The sequence below is a fragment of the Homo sapiens genome, chromosome 2, assembly GCF_000001405.40.
Source record: "Homo sapiens chromosome 2, GRCh38.p14 Primary Assembly".
NCBI lineage: Eukaryota > Metazoa > Chordata > Mammalia > Primates > Hominidae > Homo > Homo sapiens.
Window position 1 is genome coordinate 65,183,227 of NC_000002.12, and position 25,162 is coordinate 65,208,388.

Sequence of the window (25,162 nt, forward strand, 5' to 3'; positions counted from 1 at the left end):
ATACATTGAATGGATAGATTAGAATTTTTGTTAAAAGTAGTTTGCTGAAAAATCCTACAAATAATTATGAACTCAGTAACAATTAACACATTTAACAACTAGATTGTAGTTTCTAAATAAAGTTGCTTACTAACAGGAACCAAACTTCTTGGAGAAATGGCTAACTGCAAGTCTGAAATAGGAAACATGCAAGATGAACTCTGGACCATCTTATTCTACTAGAAAGCAAGGAAGCCATCAGGGTCCTGTCAACATGACTTAGAGAAATTTGAAGACATTCTCACTAGTCAGAGTTGGGACATTTTAAGCATCAATAAGAATAATAGCTGTAATTAATGAAAACACATTAAATAGGTGTAAATATTCCATGGAATACTATGCAGCCATAAAAAATGATGAGTTCATGTCCTTTGTAGGGACATGGATGAAACTGGAAATCATCATTCTCAGTAAACTATCGCAGGAACAAAAAACCAAACACCGCATATTCTCACTCATAGGTGGGAATTGAACAATGAGAACGCCTGGACACAGGAAGGGGAACATCACACTCTGGGGACTGTTGTGGGGCGGGGGGAGGGGAGAGGGATAGCATTAGGAGATATACCTAATGCTACATGACGAGTTAATGGGTGCAGCACACCAGCATGGCACATGTATACATATGTAACTAGCCTGCACATTGTGCACATTACCCTAAAACTTAAAGTATAAAAAAAAAAGGTGTAAATATTAAGTCCAAAATTCTACTTTAAAAATCTCATTGGTCATTTTTGGAGAATGCTAGAAAACCAACTCATTATTTTGAAAATTAAATAAAAGGAAGGAATCAAACACTTCTGAAAAGTCGACTATGGGTATGAGAGAAAACTTTGTAGTTTTTTAAATGAAAACTGGAAGGCTGGACCTCATTACTTTGCATCCTTGAACATTAATTAGGATACAGACCATTCTGTCCTATGCTGTTAATAGTTTATTGAATTCTATAAAGTACTAGAATAGGGAAGAATGCTTTTATTGTACTTTTAACAGATTTTTCCTGCAGATTCATCACCTCAGGTAGCCATGCAATAACTGTTAATAGATTATAACAAAGATAGAGAAAGAGGCCTCATTGTAAATAAACAAAGCATTTTAGTCTGTTCTAACAGATTGCAACCTATTAATCATTTGTGTTAGCTTTCCAGGGAAACCTCCATTTAAATATGGATTTATCTGCTTCACAAGTTTCATTAAGGGTCATTATTCTTATATATTTATATTAATAATTGCAGGAGAGAAAAATATTACAGCATTTTTTTTTTTTTTTAGATGGAGTTTTGCTGTTGTTGCCCAGGCTGGAGTGCAATGGTGCCATCTTGGCTCACTGCCACCTCTGCCTCCCGGGTTCAAGTGATTCTCTTGCCTCAGCCTCTCGAGTAGCTGGGATTACAGGCATGCGCCACCACACCCAGCTAATCTTGTATTTTTATTTTTTATTATTTTTATTTATTTACTTAATTTTTTTTTTTTTGAGATGGAGTTTTGCTGTTGTTGCCCAGGCTGGAGTGCAATAGTGCGATCTCGGCTCACCGCAACCTCCGCCTCCCAGGTTCAAGCTATTCTCCTGCCTCAGCCTCCTGAGTAGCTGGGATTACAGGCATGCATCACTACGCCCGGCTAATTTTGTATTTTTAGTAGAGATGGGGTTTCTCCATGTTGGTCAGGCTGGTCTCGAACTCCTGACCTCAGGTGATCCGCCTGCCTCGGCCTCCCAAAGTACTGGGATTACAGGCATGAGCCACCGCACCTGGCTAATTTTGTATTTTTAGTAGAAACGAGGTTTCTCCATGTTGGTCAGGTTGGTCTTGAACACGGGACCTCAGGTGATCCGCCCACCTTGGGCTCCCAAAGTGCTGGGATTACAGGCATGAGCCACCACTCCTAGCAATATACTCTTTATAACCTCACTACAACCACCTCAGATAGGCATTATTATTCACACTTTAAGCATGGAGAAACTGAAGCTCAGGGAAGTTAGGTAACTTGTGCCAGGTCACACAGCAAGTTAAGTACTGGAGCTGGGTTTGGAAACTGAACATTATGTCTCTAGGGCTGAACACTTACCTATTAAGCTATTATCTCAACTGCAAGTTTGATCATAAGACAGAATATTTACTTACTAATTAAGATGTACAAATGGGTAGGTTAGAGATTTTGGCTTTAGTCCTTACTCTGATATTTTAGCCAACTTTCTTCGTGACTCATTTTTTTTTTAACCTGTCAAATGGGAAAATAGCACTTACCTATTGTATGCAACCTATTTTTACCTATCTTTATTATTATGATAATAGATGTTAAAGTACTTTGAAAAGACAAATACTATACAAATGTAAAGTGCTACTACGATTATTTTTCTAAATAACAGAGGGCACTACACCTGTCTTCTGTCTTGGTGGGGTCAAGGTCTAGATTGACATTCTAATTCAACAAACATTTCCTTCTTTCTTTCTTTCTTTCTTCTTTTTTTTTTTTTTTTTTTTTTTTTTTTTTGAGACAGGGTCTCAGTCTGTCACCCAGGCTGGCTGGAATGCAGTGGCGCAATCTCAGCTCACTGCAGCCTCAACAGCCCAGGCTCCAGAGATCTTCCCACCTCAGCTTCCTGAGTAGCTGGGGGTTACAGTAGCTTCCCGAGTAGCACCCGGATAATTTTTTTTTTTTTTGAGACGGAGTCTCGCTCTGGAGGCTCTGTCGCCCTGGCTGGAGTGCAGTGGCATGATCTCTGCTCACTGCAACCTCCACCTCCTAGGTTTAAGCGATTCTCCCTTCTCAGCCTCCTGAGGAGCTGGGACTACAGACGAGTGCCACCACGCCCGGCTAATTTTTGTATTTTTAGTAGAGATGGGGTTTCACCATGTTGGCCAGGCTGGTCTCAAACTCCTGACCCTGTGATCCACCCGCCTCGGCCTCCCACGTGCTGGAATTACAGGCGTGAGCCGCCGCGCCTGGCCGCACCCGGCTAATTTTTTCAATTATTTGTAGAGGCGGTGTTTCGCCATGTTGCTCAGGCTGGTCTCAAACTCCTGGGGTCAAGCTACCTGCCCGCCTCAGCCTCCCAAAGTGCTGGGATTATAGGCGTGAGCCCCCACGCCTGGCCAACAAACACTTAAGTGTCTTCTATGAACCTAGCAAGTGCTTGGCACTGCTTCTGTTGAGTGCACAGCCCCAAGCGGAAGACAAACATTAAATACGCAATTATACAAATATGATAAAGTTTTATATTGTGTCTTGAAGGAAATAAACCCCTTGTTAGGAAAGAGAATGAGAGAGTGGACTTGGAGGAAATGACTTTTTCTCCACTGGGAGAGGGAAGAGTGGAAAACATGGAGAGGGGAGTGCTGTGCATGAGTCATGGTGGGAGAGATACCAGCCCAAGGTTGGGTCACTCAGGGCCTTGGGGGCTCTGTATTGGGCTTTGTACTTTATCCCAAGTGCAACAGAAAATCCTTTTTTTTTTTTTAACTTTTTTTTTTTTCTACTCTTGTTGCCCAAGCGGCAGTGCTGCAGTGGCGCAATCTCGGCTCACTGCAACGTCTGCCTCCTGGGTTCAAGCGATTCCCCTGTCTCCCAAGTAGCTGGGATTGCAGGCGCCCACCACCGCACCCAGCTAATTTTTGTATTTTTAGCAGAGACGGGGTTCACCATGTTGGCCAGGCTGGTCTGGAACCCCTGACCTCAAATGATCCGCCCACCTCGGCCTCCCAAAGTGCTGGGATTACAGACGTGAGCCACCGCGCCCGGCCAGAAAATCCTAAGGGGTTAGGAGCTGAGGCCTAGAATGGTCAAAGAGTTGGAGGTGTTTGCAAAAGTGATTTCATTGATGACCCGTGATGTCTGGGTTGAAAAGGGGAGAGTGAAGAGAGGAGGGGACTGCAGGATGGAGAGAAAGCAGCAGGGCTTGGACTGAAGAGCTTGCTAAGCTGAAAGGACTGTTGCTGCGGGGGTTACTTGAGAGCACGGAAGGAGAGGAGAGCGTGTTTGAATGAGTGAGGAAGGCTGTGAAGTTTCTGGTCCATGTTGTGATCACGGGAGTGGGTGGTGGTAACAGAGCAGAAGGAAGTGTAGCTGGGAATGTGAAGTGAGAAAGCTAAAAGGCCAGAATGGCTTGACAGAACCAGAGAGCAAGTTCCAATTCACGGGAGGCTCAAGCGCCTGGGTTTTGTACAGGGCTGACCCCTGCTGGTAAATTCTGGTAGAAGCCCAGGAAGCCACGCTGCTCGCTTAGGAGAACCTGAGAAGTGTGGTAACAGCGGTCACAGGCAGCAAAGGAAGAGGGCTGTTTTTCCTTAGACATAACATTTTCATTTTTGAAATGTCTCTGCCAGTTTTAGGCTTAGAATGTCCTCACAACTAAAGCATTCTTTGTAAATAATCCCCAACTCATGTTATCAAATGATGAAAATGCAATGTATGAATAATAGGGAGAAAAATTTCTCCGTGAATTGTCTTTTCACTTTCTTAGTAAACATATATGTAATAAAATGCACACATCTCAACTGTAGAGCTAGATGAAACTGTAGAAATGTATAAGCCCATTACGTAACAAATGTAATCATCACCCAGATTAAGTTAGAGCATATTCCAGTAGATCTCCCCAAAACCTCCCTCTTGTCCACTCACTACTTACCCTACTATCTTGACTTCTAACAGCATAGATTAGTTTTGCCTGTTGTTGAAAGTCATATAAATGGAATCAAACTGTATGCATTCTTTTGTATTTTGTTTCTTTTCTTTTTCTTTTTTTTTTTTTTTTTTTTTTTTGAGATGGAGTCTCGCTCTGTCGCCCAGGCTGGAGTGCAGTGGCGCAATCTCAGCTGACTACAACCTGCACCTCCCGGGTTCAAGTGATTCTCCTGCCTCAGCCTCCCAAGTAGCTGGGATTACAGGCGCATGCCACCATGCCCAGCTAATTTTTTGTATTTTTAGTAGAGATGGGGTTTCACCGTGTTAGCCAGGATGGTCCTGATCTCCTGACCTTGTGATCCGCCCGCCTCAGCCTCCCAAAGTGCTGGGATTACAGGCGTGAGCCACTATGCCCTGCCTGTATTTTGTTTCTTTGACTTAACATATGCCTGTGAAATTTACCCACATTGTGGTAGTAGTTCATTCTTTTTTAAAAAATTGCATTAAAAAATATGCTACCATTATTTATCCATTCTTTTTTTTTTTTTTTTTTGAGACGAGGTCTTGCTGTGTCACCCAGGCTGGAGGGCAGTGGTGGGATCTCAGCTCACTGCAACCTCCACCTACCAGCCTCAAGCAATCCTCCCACCTAAGCCTCCCAAGTAGTAGCTGAGACTACAAGTGTGCACCATCACAACTGGCTAATTTTTGTGGGTTTTTTTGGCTAGAGATGGGGTTTTGCCATGTTGCCCAGGCTGGTCTTAAACTTCTGGGCTCAAGCAATTCTCCCAGCTCAGCCTCCCAAAGTGCTAGGGTTACAGATGTGAGCCACTGTGCCAGGCCCACTATTTATCCATTTCTATTACTGATTAAAATTTGGATTGTTTCCAGATTATGACTATTATGCTCCTATGGCCATCCATCCATATGTCTTCTGTTAATTGTATGTGTGTGTATATGTATATATGTATTGTGTATGTATATGTATACACACATACATATGTGTACAGATATGTATGTCTATATACACACATACACACACATGCACACATATACACACACACATATGTTTGGTTAGTTGCCAGGTCACTTTAAGTAGGCAACAGAAAGGACCTCAAGAGAACTCCTTGGAGAATCTGACTTGAGGTCCTTAGAGTTTGTGTAGTACAGAGATGAGTTCTGAAAACATTCTCCAGGCCAAAGTGGCCAGAGGTGGCAGAGTAGAGAGGGCTGTGTTAGATGTGGACTACACGCCCTCTGAGGACAGGGCAAAGTACGGGTGGTTCTTATGGACCAAATGTGGATCCTGGGTCCCTCTTGGATCCTTCCCTAGAAAGACCATGGGATCCCAAAAGAGAGGTGGCCTGAAAGATGACAGGGAGCGGTCAAAATGGCAGTCAGATGAGAGGCATTACCAGGAATCTCTGAGGGACTCAAGGAGGGGAAGCCCTGGGATCTCCATCCCCTAGGGGGTACCTTCATGGGGTACCTGTCAGTAAGATCTTTCTGTCCCTTCCTGTCCCAGAAGAGGAGCTGGAGACAACATAGTGAGGGCCGGGGAAGAGGAGGACAGCCACAGTGGGAAAAGAGGACCAGAAGCTATCCATGACTTCTCCCCGACTGTCGGCTTCCCAGCCTGAAGCAGCTCAGAGCTGGGAGACTGACAGAAGCTCCAAATCAGGTAAGGATGTGGAGTTGTGATTAAGACACTAATCTAACTATTTAATTACTAAAATATCCCTGATAAAATCTTCTGCCCCAAAACTTGCTTCCCCTGCTGAATTCCTCACTTCACCTAATTGCAACTCCATCCCTCCAGTTGCTCAGGTCCGCAGCCATCAAGTGATCCTTCTGTTTTCATTCACATCCCATATTCCATGCATGAGAAAATCCTGCCGTCTCTACTTCAGTATGCTTCATGTTCTGAAATGGGAGAGTGGTCGAGTAAGTTTTTGGTGTTTACTGTATTTTGGATGTCCTGAATTATTCATTGTTGGCCAACATTCAGGAACTAAGCATTAGTACAGCTTGTAGATTTTCTGATTTCCTTATTTATTTATTTATTGAGACAGGAATCTTATTCTGTCACCTAGGCTGCAGTGCAGTGGCATGATCTCAGCTCACTGCAGCTTCAACCTCCTGAGCTCAAGCAATCCTCCTGCCTCAGCCTCCCCAGTAGCCGGGACTACAGGCATGGGCCATCAATGCCTGGTTAATTTTTTGAGGAGATGGGGTTTTGCCGTGTTTGCCCAGGCTGGTGTTGAACTCCTGGACTCAAGTGATCTGCCCACCTCAGCCTCCCAAAGTGTTGGGATTGAGCCACAGGAGTGAGGCACTGTACCCGTCCTCATTTTCTTTAATCTATTGGTTTACTTAAGTTTTTTCCCTTGAATTTGAAAATATTTCCCGATGTTCGTAGGTTTTCTAAGTTTACAAAGAAATGCTCTGTCCCTCTGTAGTACACACATGTGCCACTAAAGGCTAAATCTTCAAAATAAAGAGCCAAACCCAAGGAGGTAACTAATAACTCACTGAAGTGAAGTGATTATGGTTGCTACTAATTCACATCCCACATAATTCAATACAAAGAAATTGTTGGGATTGCATGCATGTGGGCTTCTGGATGGTGACCTGTGCATCTGTTCCTCTTGCCTGCTCAAACATCTTTCTTCCTAGAAGAAGACAGGGTCTAGACATCAGTAAGTTGGCAAAATGGGCCATTCCAACACTTGCTTCCCACAGAAACATCAATTTGAACAACTGTCCATGCATGAAAATACCTTCACAAGCACTAAGGATACCAGGTGAGAGATTACAGCACCCGAATGTAGTGCAGAAATAAGAAAAGACTCCTGTAATCCCAGCACTTTGGGAGGCAGAGGCAGGTGGATCACGAGGTCAGGAGATCGAGACCATCCTGGCTAACATGGTGAAACCCCATCTCTACTAAAAATACAAAAAATTAGCTGGGCATGGTGGTGGGCACCTGTAGTCCCAGCTACTCAGGAGGCTGAGGCAGAAGGATGGCGTGAACCTGGGAGGCAGAGGTTGCAGTGAACCAAGATGGCGCCACTGCACTCCAGCCTGGGCGACAGAGTGAGACTCTGTCTCAAAAAAAAAAAAAAAAGAAAAAAGAAAAAGAAATAAGAAAAGACATATTGAGGAGGGTAGGAAGGACAGTTTTGCATGATCCACATCACCCCTGCCTCAACCTCAGTCAGCATAGTGTGGCCAGGTATACCCTCCACTTAGGGGAAGGAGAGGGAAATAAGCAACAAACTTTGTCTCAGACCTCAACACTTGGGTTGGGTTGTTGGGTGACAGAGTGAGAATTGTCTCTACAAAGTAATAAAAAATTAGTCAAGTGTGGTGGCATGTGCCTGTAGTCCTAGCTACTCTGCAGGCTGAGGCAGGAGAATCGCTTGAGCCCAGAAGGTTACAGTGAGCTATGATGGCACCACTGCACTCTAAAGCCTGGGTGACAGGAAAAAAAAAAAAAAAAGGCAGTTGACTTCAGTCAGGTGTCAGGTCACTCAAACTTTTCATTGTTCTGTGCATGTCCCCAAATGACTGTAAAATTGCTGCAAGTATTGATTTTGGGGTTGCAAATAAATTTTAGCAAATAGGCAAATTCACAATTCCGAATCTACAAATGAAAACAAACTGTTATCTAGGAACAAATTTAACAAAAGAAGTGTAAGACCACAACTCTGAAAACCACAAGACATTGTTCAAAAAAATTAAAGAACATTTAATGGATGGAAAGATATCCCATAGCCATCAATCAGAAGCCTTAATATTGTTAAGAGATCTATCCTCCTCAAATTGATCTATAGTTTTAACTCAATCTCTATTAAAATTCTAGTTTGTTTCTTTGCAGAAATTGACAAACTGATCCTAAAATTCATACAGAGATTCGAGGGACTCAGAATAGCCAAAACAATCTTGAAAATGAATAATAAAATGGGAGGACCCACCTTTCCTGATTTCAAAATGTACTACAAAGCTACAGTAATTAATACAATATGGACTGGAATAAAGATAGATAGAGAGGTCAATTGAATATAATTAGGAGTCCAGAAATAAACTATTACATTTATGGTCAGTTGATTTTTGACATAGGAGCTAAGACAATTCAACAGGGAAAGAATAGTCTTCTCAGCAAATGGTGCTTGGACATCTGGATAGTCACACACGAAAGAATGAGGTTGGACTCTTACAAAAAACAATATACAAAAATTAACTCAAAATGGATCAAAGACCTAAATATAAGAGCTAAACTGTGAAACTATTACGGTTTCTTAAACATGATGTCTAAAGCATGAGCAACAAAAAATAAAATAGATAATGGGACTTTTACCTAGGATATATAACAAACTATTAAAACTTAATAAAAAGACAAGACCAGGCACAGTGGCTCACGCCTGTAATCTCAGCACTTTGGGAGGTCAAGGTGGGAAGATTGCTTGAGTGCAGCCTGTGCAACATAGTGAGACCTCACCTCTACAAAAAATAAAATTAGCTAGGCACAGTGGCATGCACCTGTAGTCCCAGCTACTCGGGAGGCTGAGGTGGGAGAACTGCCTGAGCCTGGGATGTCAAGGCTGTGGTGGGCTGAGATTGCACCATTGCACTCCCGCCTGGGCAACAGAGTGAGACCCTGTCTCAAATAACAAGAATAATAATAATAATAAGACAAATAACCTAATTAAAAATAGGCAAAGACTCTGAATGGACAGTTCTCTCAATAAAACACACAAATGGCTAGAAGACACATGAAAAGATGTTCAATACCATTAGCTATTAGGTAATGTATATCAGGTAAATGTAAATGAAAACCACAATGAGATGCCACTTCACACTTACTAGGATAGCTATAATAAAAAAATAGATAATAACAAGTGTTGACAAGGATGTGGAAAAATTGGAGCCCTTCTACACTGCTGGTGTATAAAGTGTAGCCACTTTGGAAAATCGTCTGGCAGTTCCTGAAAAAGTTATACATGGAGTTATCATGTGATCCAGCAATTCTACTACTAGAGATATATATAAGAGAAATGAGAAATAAAAGCATATGTCCATATGAAAACTTGTACAGCAGCATTATTTATAACAGCAAAAAAGTGGAAATGACCCAAATGTCCATCAACTGATGAATGGATAAATAAAATATGGTATACTCATACAATAGAATATTATTCAGCAATAAAAAGACAGGAAGTACTGATACATACCACAACATGGATGAACTTTAAAAACACTACACTAAGTGAAAGAAGCCAGTCAGAAAAGGAGCCATATAGTATATTATTCCATTTATATAAAATGTCCAAGACAGGGCCAGGAGCAGTGGCTCATGCCTGTAATCCCAGTACTTTGGGAGGCCAAGGCGGGAGGATCACCTGAGGTCAGGAGTTCGAGACCAGCCTGATCGATATGATGAGATGCCATCTCTACTAAAGATACAGAAATTAGCTGGGCGTGGTGGCATTTGCCTATATTCCCAGCTACTCGGGAGGCTAAGATAGGAGAATCGCTTGAACCTGGGAGGCAGAGATTGCAGTGAGCCAAGATCGTACCATTGCAGTCCAGCCCGGGCAACAAGAGCAAAACTCCATCTCAAAAAAAAAAAAAAAAATGTCCAGGACAGGCAAATCTAAAGAGACAGAAAGTATATTAGTAGTTGCCTAGGTCTCAGGGGATGGGGGAGTTAGGGGTGATGGCTAAGGGGTATGTGGTTTCATTTGGGGGTAATAAAATATTCTAAAATAGATTGTGGTGATGGTTGCACAACTCTGTGAACATACTAAAAGTCATCGAATTGTATACTTTAAATGGGTGAGTTGCATGATATGCAAATTATATCTTAATAACTTTTTTTTTTGGTCGGAGTCGTGCTTTGTCACTCGGGCTGAAGTGCAGTGGTGCAATCTCGGCTCACTGCAACCCCCGCCTCCTGGGTTCAAGTGATTCTCCTGCTTCAGCCTCCCGAGCAGCTGGGACTACAGGCACCTGCCACCATGCCCAGCTAATTTTTTTTTTTTTTTTGAGTAAAGATGGGGTTTCACCATGTTGGCCAGGCTAGTCTGGAGCTCTTGACCTCATGTGATCTGCCCACCTTGGCCTCCCAAAATGCTGGGATTACAGGCATGAGCCAATAAAGCTATTTTTAAAAAACAGAAGTAAATGAGTTACAAATTTCCAAAAGGAAATTGATAAAATAATTCAAAATACCAAAGAAAATAGTGCTTGCAGGTAACTTTACCTAAAAGACAATGAGAAGCTTTGAAAAATTATTAGTTAATCCTGTAAGATGTTTGAACAGTGAGAATATTAAAAATATTGATAATGGTATTTTTCTACTTGATCATTTTCTCTCTCTCCTTTTACTCTTACCAAATCACATTTTTATGTCTTTGTATGTCTTATGCTATATTGATTTCAAAATCCTTTTCATTTCAAACAGGATTCCATGAACAAAGGACATAGAAACAAATGAAAATAATTATTTTATTGTATATAATGTCTAAATTCAAATTACTACAAATTGACATAATATAAAAAATAATTCTATTTGCTAAGAAAAAACAAAATAGGGCTTCATCATTTGACTCTACTCTCAGAAAAACCTATAATGTATTAAAAAGTCTAACTTTTATCTCTTATTTTATCTTTGAATTGGTTTCTTAATGGGAATAACAACCCCAGACAGCCAAATGAAGTTAAGGAAACTGTTTTTAAAAATCTATTTGTCTGTGCTGTCTGAGAATTATATATATATATATGTCTTCTTTGATTAGATCTAAATTCTCTAACCAAATTACGTGTTTTTATTTCTGAACTCTCCCTTTATCATTAGCAACTGTCACAATTTCAGAGTTGTTAACAATTTGGTTGTACTTTATGTAAGCCTTTTAACTTTAAGCTTATTTATATCAGTTCCTCTTACTCTAATAACACTTGAGAATTTATGTATGCTATATTTATTTTTTCCTCAATCCCATATATATCACTTTCATGCTTCTTTAAGTGATGTGCTGTAGAAACCAAAACTGATGCTAGAAAAACCTTATTAAGCAAATAATATATTTTACTCTCTCTAAACCTTTTGTAGTTATTTTACATTATCTTCTCAGCTCATCCCAACTGATTAAAATTCCTTCACTGAGGCTTAGGTCTTTGTTATTTTGAGATCAGGGCATTCAAGTATCAGGAACAGCTGTAAAATATTTACGGAAGGAACGGAAAAGAAGGAAAGCAATGACAACATGAGCCTAGAAGGATGGAAAAGCATGTTCTGATTAATGGACACTGAGAAAGTAGTTATTGAAAATGACAGAAAGGCGTGCTCTTGGCACTGTGAAGCCTTTTTTCTCTGCACAAGAACTAAGAGGCTCCAAGCTGAGATATGGGAAACATAACAAAACAAGAAAGCATACCAAAAGAGAGAGAAGAGAATGACAGCAGAAACAAGGAAGATTCGAAACAATGAGCAAAAAGTAACACAGAAGGCTACAAACAGGGAACAGAGGAGCAAAGAATCTGGTAGAGATAGTCCTGAGCAAAAGAAGTTGAACCTAGCCACCTCAGGAGAGAGGGAAAAAGGTAAAAATGGTGGAAAGGTGGCATAGGCCTCAGCCCAGGGAGGGTCAGGGGCTGAATGGGAAGGGAGGGAGTATCAGCAGAAAACACTTTGATATTTTTAGCACTGAGGTTAGGACAACTCCATAGTTTGGGCTGAGGTGGAGAAAAGCAGATGGGGAAAAGGTTCATAGATGGTTGCGATATTACTCATTTCTAATCCTAACATTTCCTTTATTATATGATCCCCACCCCCTTTATTACAGGAGTAATAAATTCAACAAAATTGTAAAGATGGGAAATTGCATGGCGTAAGGGAGGAGAGGGAGTAGATGAATTTAGTTATAATGGAAGGTTCATGTAGGGGAGTGGTGCCAGGGAAGACTAGAAATCCACGGCAGAGGCAGATTGTGAGAGTCCTCAGATGTCAGGGCAAGGAACTGGGCTCCAGCAAGGAAGGAGTAAGGAAGGATTTTCAGCAAGTATGTGAAATGATGAACACAGTGTTTTAGGGAGATAAATTTACCAGCATAAGACATTCAGAATGGAGACGGAGGGAAGCCAGAGGCAAGAAAATTAGTTAGAAAGTTAAGGTGCTTATCGCAGAGAGCAAAGCCCTTAAAAATGTGTACATAAAAAAATTCTGCTTCTGGGAATTTATATCCTAAGGAAATACTTATGTACACAAAGATTTCACTACTAAAGATGCTTATTGCAATGTTGCTATAAAACATTAATAAACATCTATAAAATTTTTCTGAAAACACTTTTAAGAGCAATCTTTAGCAGCTAAATCTTTGCACACATTCTTCATTATTTCTTTTTTTGGGGGGGCTGGGGGGAAAGGAGTTTTGCTCTTGTTGCCCAGGCTGGAGTGCAATGGCACAATTTCGGCTCACTGCAAGCTCCGCCTCCTGGGTTCAAGCAATTCTCCTGCCTCAGTCTCCCAAGTAGCTTGTATTACAGGCATGTGCCACCATGCATGGCTAATTTTTGTATTTTTAGTAGACACAGGGTTTCACCATGTTGGTCAGGCTGGTCTCAAACGCCTGACCTCAGGTGATCCACCCGCCTCGGCCTCCCAAACTGCTGGGATTACATGCGTGAGCCAGTGCGCCCGACCCATTATTTCTTAAAGTTTTATCTATAAAAACTTCCAACTTTGCTAATAAAAATAAATCATTATGATCTTTTGATCCACAATACTAAAATGACTAACAAAAATATAGCTATATAGACACACACACACACACACATGCACACACACACAACAGCATGAACTTCTAAAGACAGAACTAACAATGCATGCTCAAATGTATTGGTATTAAAATTGAGTTGAAACTACAGTCTCCTGTCGATATTGGAGGTTTCTTCCATGATCACCACCTAAATTGCCATGGGAGCAGAGAAGGTAGCATAAGGGAGCAGGGCAAGGAGGGTGAGAAAGCTTCAGAGGGGATGCTCTGGGGAAATTACTTTATTTTTCTTATTTTTATATCTTATCTCTAAACTACACTGTAAATTCAATGAAAGTAGGGACAAAATACCATCTGGATGAGGAATGAAAATGAGGCCAGGCCAGTGGCTCACTCCTGTAATCCCAGCACTTTTGGGAGGCTGAGGATTGTTTGAGCTCAGGAATTTGAGACCAGCCTGGGTTACATAGTGAGACACTGCCTCTACTAAAAATTAAAAAAACAAAAAATTAGCCGGGTATGGTGGCATGTGCCTGTAGTTCCAGCTACTCAGGAGGCTGAGGTGGGAGGATCACTTGAGCCCAGGAGTTTGAGGCTGCAGTGAGCTATGATTATGCCACCGTACACCAGCTGGGAGTGAAGAGCGAGACTCTGTCTCAAAACTCCTGTTTATATTTAGATTACCTAAACATGACTGTTGCAAGGGAGATGGAATTACCCTGATTGAATTAAACCAGAGACATCTCTTGGAGCCAGAGATGGGGATCCATCCATATGCCCCCCAAGTCTTGTGGCTGCTACATTATAAGCAATGAGTGAATAGATGTTGGTAAAATGTATACACATATATATGTATTTTTTGAGACAGAGTCTCGCTCTGTCGCCCAGGCTGGAGTGCGGTGGTGCCATCTCAGCTCACTGCAAGCTCCGCCTCCTGGGTTCATGCCATTCTCCTGCCTCAGCCTCCCGAGTACCTGGGACTACAGGCGCCCACCACCACGCCTGGCTAATTTTTTCCATTTTTAGTAGAGACGGGGTTTCACCATGTTAGCCAGGATGTTCTTGATCTCCTGACCTCATGATCTGCCCACCTCGGCCTCCCAAAGTGCTGGGATTACAGGCGTGGGCCACCACGCCCGGCCAGTAAAATGTATATTTTAAAGATGAAATTGAAGCTTATCATGGCAGAATTCAAATGTCAAGATAAACTGCAACGTCTTGTAATAAAACTTTGCAGACATGATCATGGAACAGCTGACAGTAATTTGAATAATCTTGAAAAATAGATTAAATATTGTTATAGACATTTGTAGACAATATTAAAAGGTGTGGGTGGGGATGGTAAGACATAGATGGGAGATCAACTGTAACAACAAATATATCAAACCAACCCGTTGGACAGTGGTTCTCAACTTCTGAGTATTAGTAAGGCATTTTAAAATACTACAGTTTTTTATAGCATATGTTACTAGATAAAAAGTGTTACTCAAAGTAATACTAAATAAGTCAGCAATAATTATAAGGTAATGGCTACTGCAGGATAAACATGCATAACACTGTTTATAAAGAATTAGTATGTAGTGGACAGCTGTTGGTTTTACTTCTCAGCATCCATTCACCATTTTTCTGGGAAAACAGCATGCCAGAATGCCCTCAGAGAGCCACCCCTCTTCTCTTCTCAATCCTTGTGGTTTGAGGCTCGGGATGCTCCCTAAATCAATAAGCAACTCCCAACCCCTTGGCTACAGATTGGTCCAATGATGAGCATGTGGCCCAAATCTGGACAATAAGAGTGAGGACTAGGAGGAGATAAAGCAAGATGGCCGAAGAGACACCTCCAGCAATTGTCCCCTCACAGGAACACCAAATTGAACAATTATCCACACAAAAAAGCACCATCATAAGAACCAAAAATCAGGTGAGCAATCACAGTACCTGGCTTTAATATTACATTAAGAAAAGATATACCGAAGAAAGTAAGAAAGACAGTCTTGAATCACCTATAACACCCATCTCTCATCCCCCAGCAGCAGCCATATAGTGCAGAGGGAGACTCTGTGCCCTTGGGGGAGGGAGATTGCAGTGATTGTGAGACTTTGTTGGAACTCAGTGCTGTCCTGTCACAGTAGAAAGCTACATGGGGCAGAACCTAGCAGCCACCCATAGAGGAAGCATTTAGGCCAGTCCTAGCCAGAGGAAAATAGTCCAACCCAGCAGTCAGCACCTGAGTTCTGGCAAGGCCCACCACCATCGGCTAAAGTGCTCTGGGGTTCTAAATATAATTGAAAGGAAATCTAGGCCACAAGGACTGCAATTCCTGGGCAAGTCTTGGTGCTGTGCTGGGCTTAGAGCCAGTGGACTTGGGATGCATGTGACATAGTGAGACACCAGCTGGGGCAGCCAATAATGTGCTTGCATCGCCTTTCCCCCAACCTCAGGGAGCACAGCTGGCAGCTCCAGGAGACACTCCTTCCCTCTGCTTGAGGAGAGGGGAGAGTAAAGAGGACTTTGTCTTGCAACTTGGGTACCAGCTCAGACATAGCAGGACAGGGCACCAGGTGGAGTCCTGAGGTCCCCATTCCAGGCCCTATTTCCTAGACAACATTTGTAGACACACCCTTGGCCAGAAGGGAACCCACTACCTTGAAGAGAAGGGCCCATCCCTGGTAGAATTAATCACTTGCTGACTAAACGGTCCTTGGGCCCTGAATAATTAGCAGTGGTAGCCAGACAGTACTTGTCATGAGCCATGGGTGAAACTCAGAGCCATGCTAGCTTCAGGTGTGACCCAACACATTCCTAGCTGTGGTGGCTACAGGGAGAGTCCCCTTCTGCTTGAGGAAAGGAAAGAAAACAGTAAAGGGGACTTTGTCGTGCAGCTTGGGTACCAGCTCAGCCATGGTGGGGTAGAGCAACAAGTGGGCTCTTGGGGTCCCCAGTTCCAGGTGTTGGCCCCTGGACAGCATTTATGGACCTGCCCTGGGCCAGAGGGGAACCCACTGCCCTGATGGGAGAGACTCGGGCCTGGCAGCATTCATCAAAAGCTTATTGAAGACGCCTTGGGACTTGAATGAACATCAGGGGTAGCCAGGCAGTATTTACTGTGGGTTTGAGGCAGTTTTGGCCATAGGGAGAGACTCCCCTGCTTCAGGAAAGGGAAAAGAAGAATGGGAAGGACTTTGTCTTGTGGCTTTGGTGCCAACGCAGCCACAGTAGAATACAGTACCAGATAGATTCCTCAGGTTCCCAACTCTAGGCTTTGGCTCCTGGATGGCATCTCCGGACCCACCTGGGGTTGGGGGGAGCTTGCTGCCCTGAAGGAAAGGACAAGCCTGGCTGGATTTGCCAGCTGCTGATTGTAGAGCCTTTGGTCCTTGAGTGAACATAGGCAGTAGCCAGGCAGTGGTCACTGCAGGCCTTGGGAATGACTCAGTACTGTGCTGACTTCGGGTTTAACCCAGCACAGTCCCAGTGGTGGTGGCCACAGGGGTGCTTATGTCACCCTTCCCCCAGCTCCAGGCAGCTCAGCACAGAGAGAGAGAGAGAGACTCTGTTTAGGGGAAAAAAGGGAAGGGAGCAAGAGTCTCTACCTCGTAATCCAGAGAATTCTCCTGGATCTTACCTAGATCATCAAGGAGGTACTTCTATAGGTCTACAGGATTCACAATGTTACTGGGCTTGGGTGTCCCCTAAAGAAGACATGGCTACAGTGACCAAAGACATAGATCACAACATCCAAGTCTTTTTGAATACCTGAAAAGCCTTCCCAAAAAGGGTGGGTACAAATAAGCCCAGACTGCTTACAATAAACACCTAACTTCAATGCCTAGACACTGACAAATATCCACAAGCATCACAATGATCCAGGAAAACAAGACCTCACCAAATGAACTTACTAAGGCACCAGTGACCAATTCCAGAGAGATAGAGATATGTGACCTTTCAGATAGAGAATTCAAAATGGCTGTTTTGAGGAAGCTCAACAAAATACAAGATAACACAGAGAAGGAATTCAGAATCCTATCAGATAAATTAAACAAAAGATAGAAATAACTTAAAAGAATCAAGCAGAAATTGTGGTGTTGAAAAATGCAATTGACCTAATGAAGGATGCATCAGAGTCTCTCAACAGCAGGATAAATCAAGTAGAACAAATTAGTGAGCTTGAAAAGGTTAAACCAAAAAAGAGTAGGAGTAGCTATACTTGTATTATACAAAGTAGATTTCAAGACAAAAACTATAAAAAGAGACAAAGAAGGTCACTATGTAATAATAAAGGAGTCAGTTCAGCAAGAGGATATAACAATTGTATATATATATATGCACCCAACACTGGAGCACCCAGGTTTATAAAGCAACTATTACAAGAGCTAAAGAGAAAGATATACCCCAATACATTAATAGCTGGAGACTTCAACACTCCACTTTCAGCACTGGACAGATTATCCAGACAGAAAATCAACAAAAAATATTGGATATAATCTGCACTATCAACCAAATGGACCCAATAGATAGGCATAGAACATTTCATCCAACAGCTACAGATTACATATTCTTCTGCTCAGCATATGGATCATTCTCAAGGATAGACTGTATGTTAGGCTACAAAACAAGTCTTAAAGCATTAAAAAAATTGAAAATAATATCAAGTATCTTCTCTGACAACAATGGAATAAAACTAGAAATCAATAACAAGAGGAATTTTGGAAACTATACAAACACATGGAAATTAAATAATATGCTCCTGAATGACCAGTGAGTCAATGAAGAAATTAATAAAGAAATTTAAAAAGTTATTAAAACAAATGAAAATAGAAACACAAGATACCAAAATCTATGGGATACAGCAAAAGCAGTACTAAAAGGAAAGCCTACAGCAATAAGTGCCTACATCAAAAAAGTAGAAAAACTTCAAATAACCTAACAATGCATCTTAAAGAAGTAGAAATGCAAGAGCAAACAAAACCCAAAATTAGTAGATGAAAAGAAATAGTTAACATCAGAGCAGAAATAAATCAAATTGAAATGAGAAAAATACAAAAGATCAATGAAATAAGACCTTGATTTTTTGAAAAGAAAAACAAAACTGACAGACAGTTAATGTGACTAAGAAAGAGAGAAGACCCAAATAAATAAAATCTGAGATAAAAAAGGAGACATTAAGACTGATACCACAGAATTTCAAAGGATCATTAGCGGTTACTATGAGCATCTATATGTCAATAAATTGGAAAATTTAGAAGAAATTGGTAAATTCCTGGACACATACAACCTAGCAAGATTGAACCATGAAGAAATAAAAAATCTGAACAGATGAATAACATGTAATGAGATTAAAGCCATAAAAAAAAGTCTCCCAGCAAAGAAAAGCGCAGGACCCGATGGCTTCACTGCTGAATTTTACTAAATATGTAAAGAAGAACTAGTACCAATCTTATTCAGATTATTCCAGATTCAATCTTATTCAGATTATAGAGGAGGAGGGAATACTTCTGAACTCATTCTACAAGGTTAGTATTACCCTGATACCAAAATCAGACAAAGGTGCCTCAAAAAAATAAAGCTACTGACCCATATTCCTGATAAACATTGATGCAAAAATCCTCAACAAAATACTAGCAAACCAAATTCAACAACGTAACAAAAAGATCATTCATCATGACCAAGTGGGATTTATCCAAGGGATGCAATGATGGTTCAACATATGCAAATCAATCAATGTGATCTACCAACGGAATGAAAGACAAAAGCCATATGATCATTTCAATTAATGCTGAAAAAGCATTCAATAAAATCCAACATCTCTTCATGATAAAACTCTCAAAAAACTTGGTATAGAAGGACCATATATCGACACAATAAAAGCCATATATGATAGACCCACAGCTAGCATCATACTGAATGAGGAAAAACTGAAAGCCTTTCCTGTGAGATCTGGAACATGACAAGGATGCCCACTTTTACCACTGTTATTTAACATAGTACTGGAAGTCCTAGCTAGAGCAATGAGATAGAGAAAGAAATAAAGAACATCCAAATTGGAAAGAAAAAAGTCGAATTATCCTTGTTTGCGAGTGATATAGTCATATATTTGGAAAAACCTAATGACTCCATCAAAAATTATTAGAATTGATAAATTCAGTAAAGTTGCAGGATACAAAATCAAACATACAAAAATCAGTAGCATTTCTATATGCCAACAGTGAACAATCTGAAAAAAAATTTAAAAAGGAATCGCATTTACAATAGCTACAAACAAAATAAAATGACTAGGAATAAACTTAACCAAAGAAGTGAAAGATATCTACAGTGAAAACTATAAAACATTGGTGAAATAAATTCCCAGCCTGGGCAAAATAGTGAGACACTGTCTCTACAAAAGATTTTAAAATTTGGCTGGACATGGTGGTGTACAGCTGTAGTCCTAGTTACTTGGGAGGCTGGGGTGGCAGGATCAGTTGAGCCCAGGAGTTCCAAGTATAAGGCTGCAGTAATCTATGATCATGCCATTGCACTCCAGGCTGGGTGATAGAGCAAGATTCTGTCTCCAAAGAAAAAAAAAAAAAAAAAAGAAAGATATTTAAGAGGACACAAAAAATTGAAAGATATTTCATGTCCATGGATTGGAATAATCAATATTGTTAAAATGTCCATACTGCCCAAAGCAATCTATAGATTCAATGCAATCCCTATCAAAATCCTAATGACATTCTTCATGGAAATTGAAAAAAAAACAAAAAACAAAAAAGAAAAACCTAAAATGTATATGGAACCACAAAAGACCCAGAATAGCCAAAGCCAGCCTGAGCAGAAAGAACAAAACTGGAGGAATCACATTACCTGACTTAAAATTTTTTTAATCACAAAACTAACTTTGTTATATTTTTCCCACTTAGATTTCTACGTTAAGTATCATCACTGTCCCAGTGACTTCTGGTTCTTCTTTTCTTGATGCACACAATGTCCTCAGACTTCTTTGGATTTTCTGCACATCTCTTGACACTCCACGTTACTCTCCACTCAGATTCACTCTCCAAAGTGCTTGCTGCAGACTGGCTTTTAGTCTTTCTTGATCTCTCAAACACATGGAGTCTGAATTTCTTGCTTCTTCTTTCCCTTTCTGACTCTGCATGTGAACCCCTGCACTCTTGTCCCCTCTGTTCTACCTGACTTAAAATTATATTACAGAGCTAGGCATGGTGGCTCATGCCTGTAATCCCAACACTTTGGGAGGCCGAGGCAGGAGGATTGCATAAGCCCAGGAGTTTGAAACCAGCCTTGGCAACATAGCGACACCCTGTCTCAAAAAAATTTTTTAAAATTATATTACAGAACAGTAGTAATCAGAACAGCAAGGCATAAAAACAGACATGTTGACAAATGAAACAGAATAGTGAACCCGGAGATAAATCCATACATCTACAGTTAACTCATTTTCAACAAAGGTGCCAAGAACATATGCAGAAGAATGAAACTAGATACCTATCTCTCACCATATACAAAAATCAAATCAAAATGGATTAGAGCCTTATCTAATCATAATGAGTCATGGGAAAATACTTCTCTTCAAGTAACTTAGAACCTAGAATGATATAGGATGGAGAATTGCTGACATCGTCTTACCACCTCAAAGTAAATCCTGCCTGAAATAAAACCAACACAGTGGAAACGTAGCCATGAGATGGAGAAGAGAGACTGCGTCTTAATAGCATTATTTGAGTCCCTGGTCACACCATGCTTGAGGTCTACTCCTAAACCTTTCAGCCACATGTCAACAAATTCTGTATTTTGATTAAGCCAGTTTAATGTAATTTCATTAAGCCAATAGCTTGTTAGACTCCTTTTACAAACAAATACCATATGATCTCACTTATATGTGAAATCTCAAAAAATTTAACTCAGAAGCAGAGTAGAATAGTGGTTACCAGAGGCTGGGGGAATGAGAGGCAAATTAAGAGAGGTTGGTCAAAGGTTGCAAAATATCAGTTAGGCAAGAGGAATAAGTTCAAGAGATCTATTGCACCATATGGTGACCATGGTTAATAAAATGTATTGTATGCTTGACGATTGCTAAGAGAGTAAATTTTAAGTGCTGTCACCACAAATAAATGATAAATATGTGAGGTAATACATACACTAATTAGCTTGATTGAGCTATTCCACAGTGTATACATATTTCAAAACATCAGGTTGTACACCATAAATATATACAATTATTATTTGTCAATTATAAATAAATAAATGGCACAGAGAGGTTGATTGTAAATGGAAGAAAAAATAAACCATGTAAACAAAAAGTCTAAGAAAGCCCTTCACTTCGCCCTCCAGCTGCTGCAGCTGCAGCCCGACCGCGAGCGTGCCAAGCGGCTTCAGCAGCTAGCGGAGCGGTGGCGGCGGCCCCGCTCAGGAGACCACCAGATTCCCCTCTTCCCGCGGCCTCGCCATGGCGACCCACGGACAGACTTGCGCGCGTCCAATGTGTATTCCTCCATCATATGCTGACCTTGGCAAAGCTGCCAGAGATATTTTCAACAAAGGATTTGGTTTTGGGTTGGTGAAACTGGATGTGAAAACAAAGTCTTGCAGTGGCGTGGAATTTTCAACGTCCGGTTCATCTAATACAGACACTGGTAAAGTTACTGGGACCCTGGAGACCAAATACAAGTGGTGTGAGTATGGTCTGACTTTCACAGAAAAGTGGAACACTGATAACACTCTGGGAACAGAAATCGCAATTGAAGACCAGATTTGTCAAGGTTTGAAACTGACATTTGATACTACCTTCTCACCAAACACAGGAAAGAAAAGTGGTAAAATCAAGTCTTACAAGAGGGAGTGTATAAACCTTGGTTGTGATGTTGACTTTGATTTTGCTGGACCTGCAATCCATGGTTCAGCTGTCTTTGGTTATGAGGGCTGGCTTGCTGGCTACCAGATGACCTTTGACAGTGCCAAATCAAAGCTGACAAGGAATAACTTTGCAGTGGGCTACAGGACTGGGGACTTCCAGCTACACACTAATGTCAATGATGGGACAGAATTTGGAGGATCAATTTATCAGAAAGTTTGTGAAGATCTTGACACTTCAGTAAACCTTGCTTGGACATCAGGTACCAACTGCACTCGTTTTGGCATTGCAGCTAAATATCAGTTGGATCCCACTGCTTCCATTTCTGCAAAAGTCAACAACTCTAGCTTAATTGGAGTAGGCTATACTCAGACTCTGAGGCCTGGTGTGAAGCTTACACTCTCTGCTCTGGTAGACGGGAAGAGCATTAATGCTGGAGGCCACAAGGTTGGGCTCGCCCTGGAGTTGGAGGCTTAATCCAGCTGAAAGAAACCTTTGGGAATGGATATCAGAAGATTTGGCCTTAATATATTTCCATTGTGACCAGCAGCAGGCTTTTTTCCCCCAAGAAGATGATCAAAACAAAGGATGATCTCAACAAGAGCTGTATTTTAAGTATTTAGACAGTTCTTTGTTAGCTGGTTTCTAGTTGAATTGGTTATCTAGTTACCAATGCTGCAGTCCTGCAGTCACCTATACATTATTTAAATGTATTTAACTGTTAAATGCGCTACCCACCAATAATGAAATAGACCTTTATGAAAAAAAAAAGTCTAAGAAAGCTGAAGTTTTTATATTAACATAAGATAAAATAAACCTCAAGACAGGAATACCAGCTGGGTGTGGTCACTCACACTTGTAATCCCAGCACTTTGGGAGGCCGAGGCGGGAGGATCAAGACCAGCCTGGGTAACATAGTGAGACTCAATCTCTACAAAAATAAAAAAAAACTAAAAATAGCCAGGCATGGTGGCACACACCTGTAGTCCCAGCTACTTGGGAGGCTGAGATGGGAGGATCACTTGAGCCTAGGAGCTTGAGGCTGCAGTGAGCTATAACTGTGCCACTGCACTGCAGCCTGGGCAACAGAGGGAGACCCTGTCTTTAAAAAAAAGATAAGATCACCATTGTCAAAATTAATAAAATTGCATACTTTAAATAGATGCAGTATAGTCTTTGCAAATTATTCCTCAATAACATATTTTTAAGGTAAAAGAAAAAATTATTTTAACTTGGGTACTTTACAGTACTATGTTCATCATTAAGTATGATGCTTAAGAAAATTCATGATAATATTTTAAAATGCTTATGTATGTAAATGGAAAAATGAGACACGAAATTATATAATTTCATCTCAATTATGAAAATCAAATCAGAAGAGACATAGAAAAATACTAGAAGAAAATGTTGCCGGGTGCGGTGGCTCATGCCTATAATCCCAGCACTTTGAGAGGCCAAGGCAGGCAGATCACTTGAGGTCAGGAGTTTGAAACCAGCCTGGCCAACGTGGCAAAACCCTGTCTGTACTAAAAATACAAAAATTAGCCGGGTGTGGTCGTGCGCACCTGTAATACCAGCTACTCGGGAGGTTGAGGCAGGAGAATCGCTTGAACCTGGGAGGCGGAAGTTGAAGTAAGCTGAGATCGTGCCACTGCACCCCAGCCTAGGCAACACAGCAAGACCCTGTGTCAAAAAAAAAAAAAAAAAAAAACGAAGAAGAAGAAGAAAAAGAAAAATATTAGAAGAAAATGTATCTAAACTTTAACAGTCGGTAGTAGGTAGGGGGTTATAAAGTCTATTTTTTTCTCTTACTTTTCTGAGCTTCTAAACTCTCCCCATGACATGTTTTCTGTTACTTTTATAATAAAACACCTTACATTTTATTATAAAACTTATTAAACGTATTAAAAATATACCTAGAGAAGAGTAGGATGCACTCCTATATATTTATATCCCAGATTCAATCATCATCGAGATTTTGCCCCATTTGCTGAATCTATCCTTTTTTTCCTGAAGTATTTTAAAGCAAATTCCAGACATCATATCATTTCACCTACAAGTACTTGGTAAGAATCTTTTTTTTTTAATGGATATTTTCTGTCATTACCACAATGCCTTTATAGTACTTACCTAAATTAACAATAATCCCTTGGCATCTTCTAATACCATCTAATCCACATAATCCTACTTTCAAAATTGTCTCTAAATATCTTTTTTTTAGTTGGTTTATTCAAATTCAGGTACAAAAAAGGTCTATATTATTACAATTGGTTGTTTTGTTTCTTAGATTTCTTTCCATTTAGAGAAGATTCCCCCTCCCCGTCGACACACACATGCGCACCTGAGTGCACACACACACATGCACGCACACACATTAATCCTGTCAACGATTTGTTGCAAAAACTGTGTTAACCGTTGTACAGAATATTATGCATTATGGATGTGTGTATTTGCTTCCCTGTGGTATCATTTAACTTATTCCTCTACCCTTTTTATTTCCTCTAAATGGAAGTTACCTCTAAAAATCCAATTTATTCTGGTTCAACATTTTTGGCAGGAATACTTTATAGGTAATGCTCTGAAAACTCTTGTGTTTAAAATAAATATTTATCTCAACATGCCGGAATTAGTCTCAAATCAAGAAGACTAAATTAACCAGAATAAGATTTTAAAAGACTGTTTTAGGTTTAAACATTAAATCGCAAAGTAAAATTGAAGACACCTGGATAAGCATTCGGGAAAGAGACCAGAAAATTTTAACTGAACATGAGTTCAAAATAAGAAAACTGTATGAGCCAGGTGCGGTGGCTCATGCCTGTAATCCCAGCACTTTGGGAGGCCGAGGCAGGCGGATCACGAGGTCAGGAGATCGAGA

The 25,162-nt window shown here is 40.8% G+C and overlaps 1 long non-coding RNA gene and 1 pseudogene across 1 annotated transcript in view; one reads left to right on the forward strand and one right to left on the reverse strand.

The window, feature by feature from the left end:
- Nucleotides 1-6,363: 6,363 nt before the first annotated feature.
- The window catches only part of LOC124907779 (uncharacterized), a 38,010-nt gene continuing 19,211 nt past the window's right edge, over nucleotides 6,364-25,162 (reverse strand). Inside the window, exon 2 of the long non-coding RNA XR_007086461.1 lies at nucleotides 6,364-6,585. This is a non-coding gene — a long non-coding RNA (uncharacterized LOC124907779). The remainder of the gene's footprint in view (nucleotides 6,586-25,162) is intronic.
- On the forward strand, nucleotides 21,850-23,052 carry VDAC2P5 (VDAC2 pseudogene 5; annotated as a pseudogene).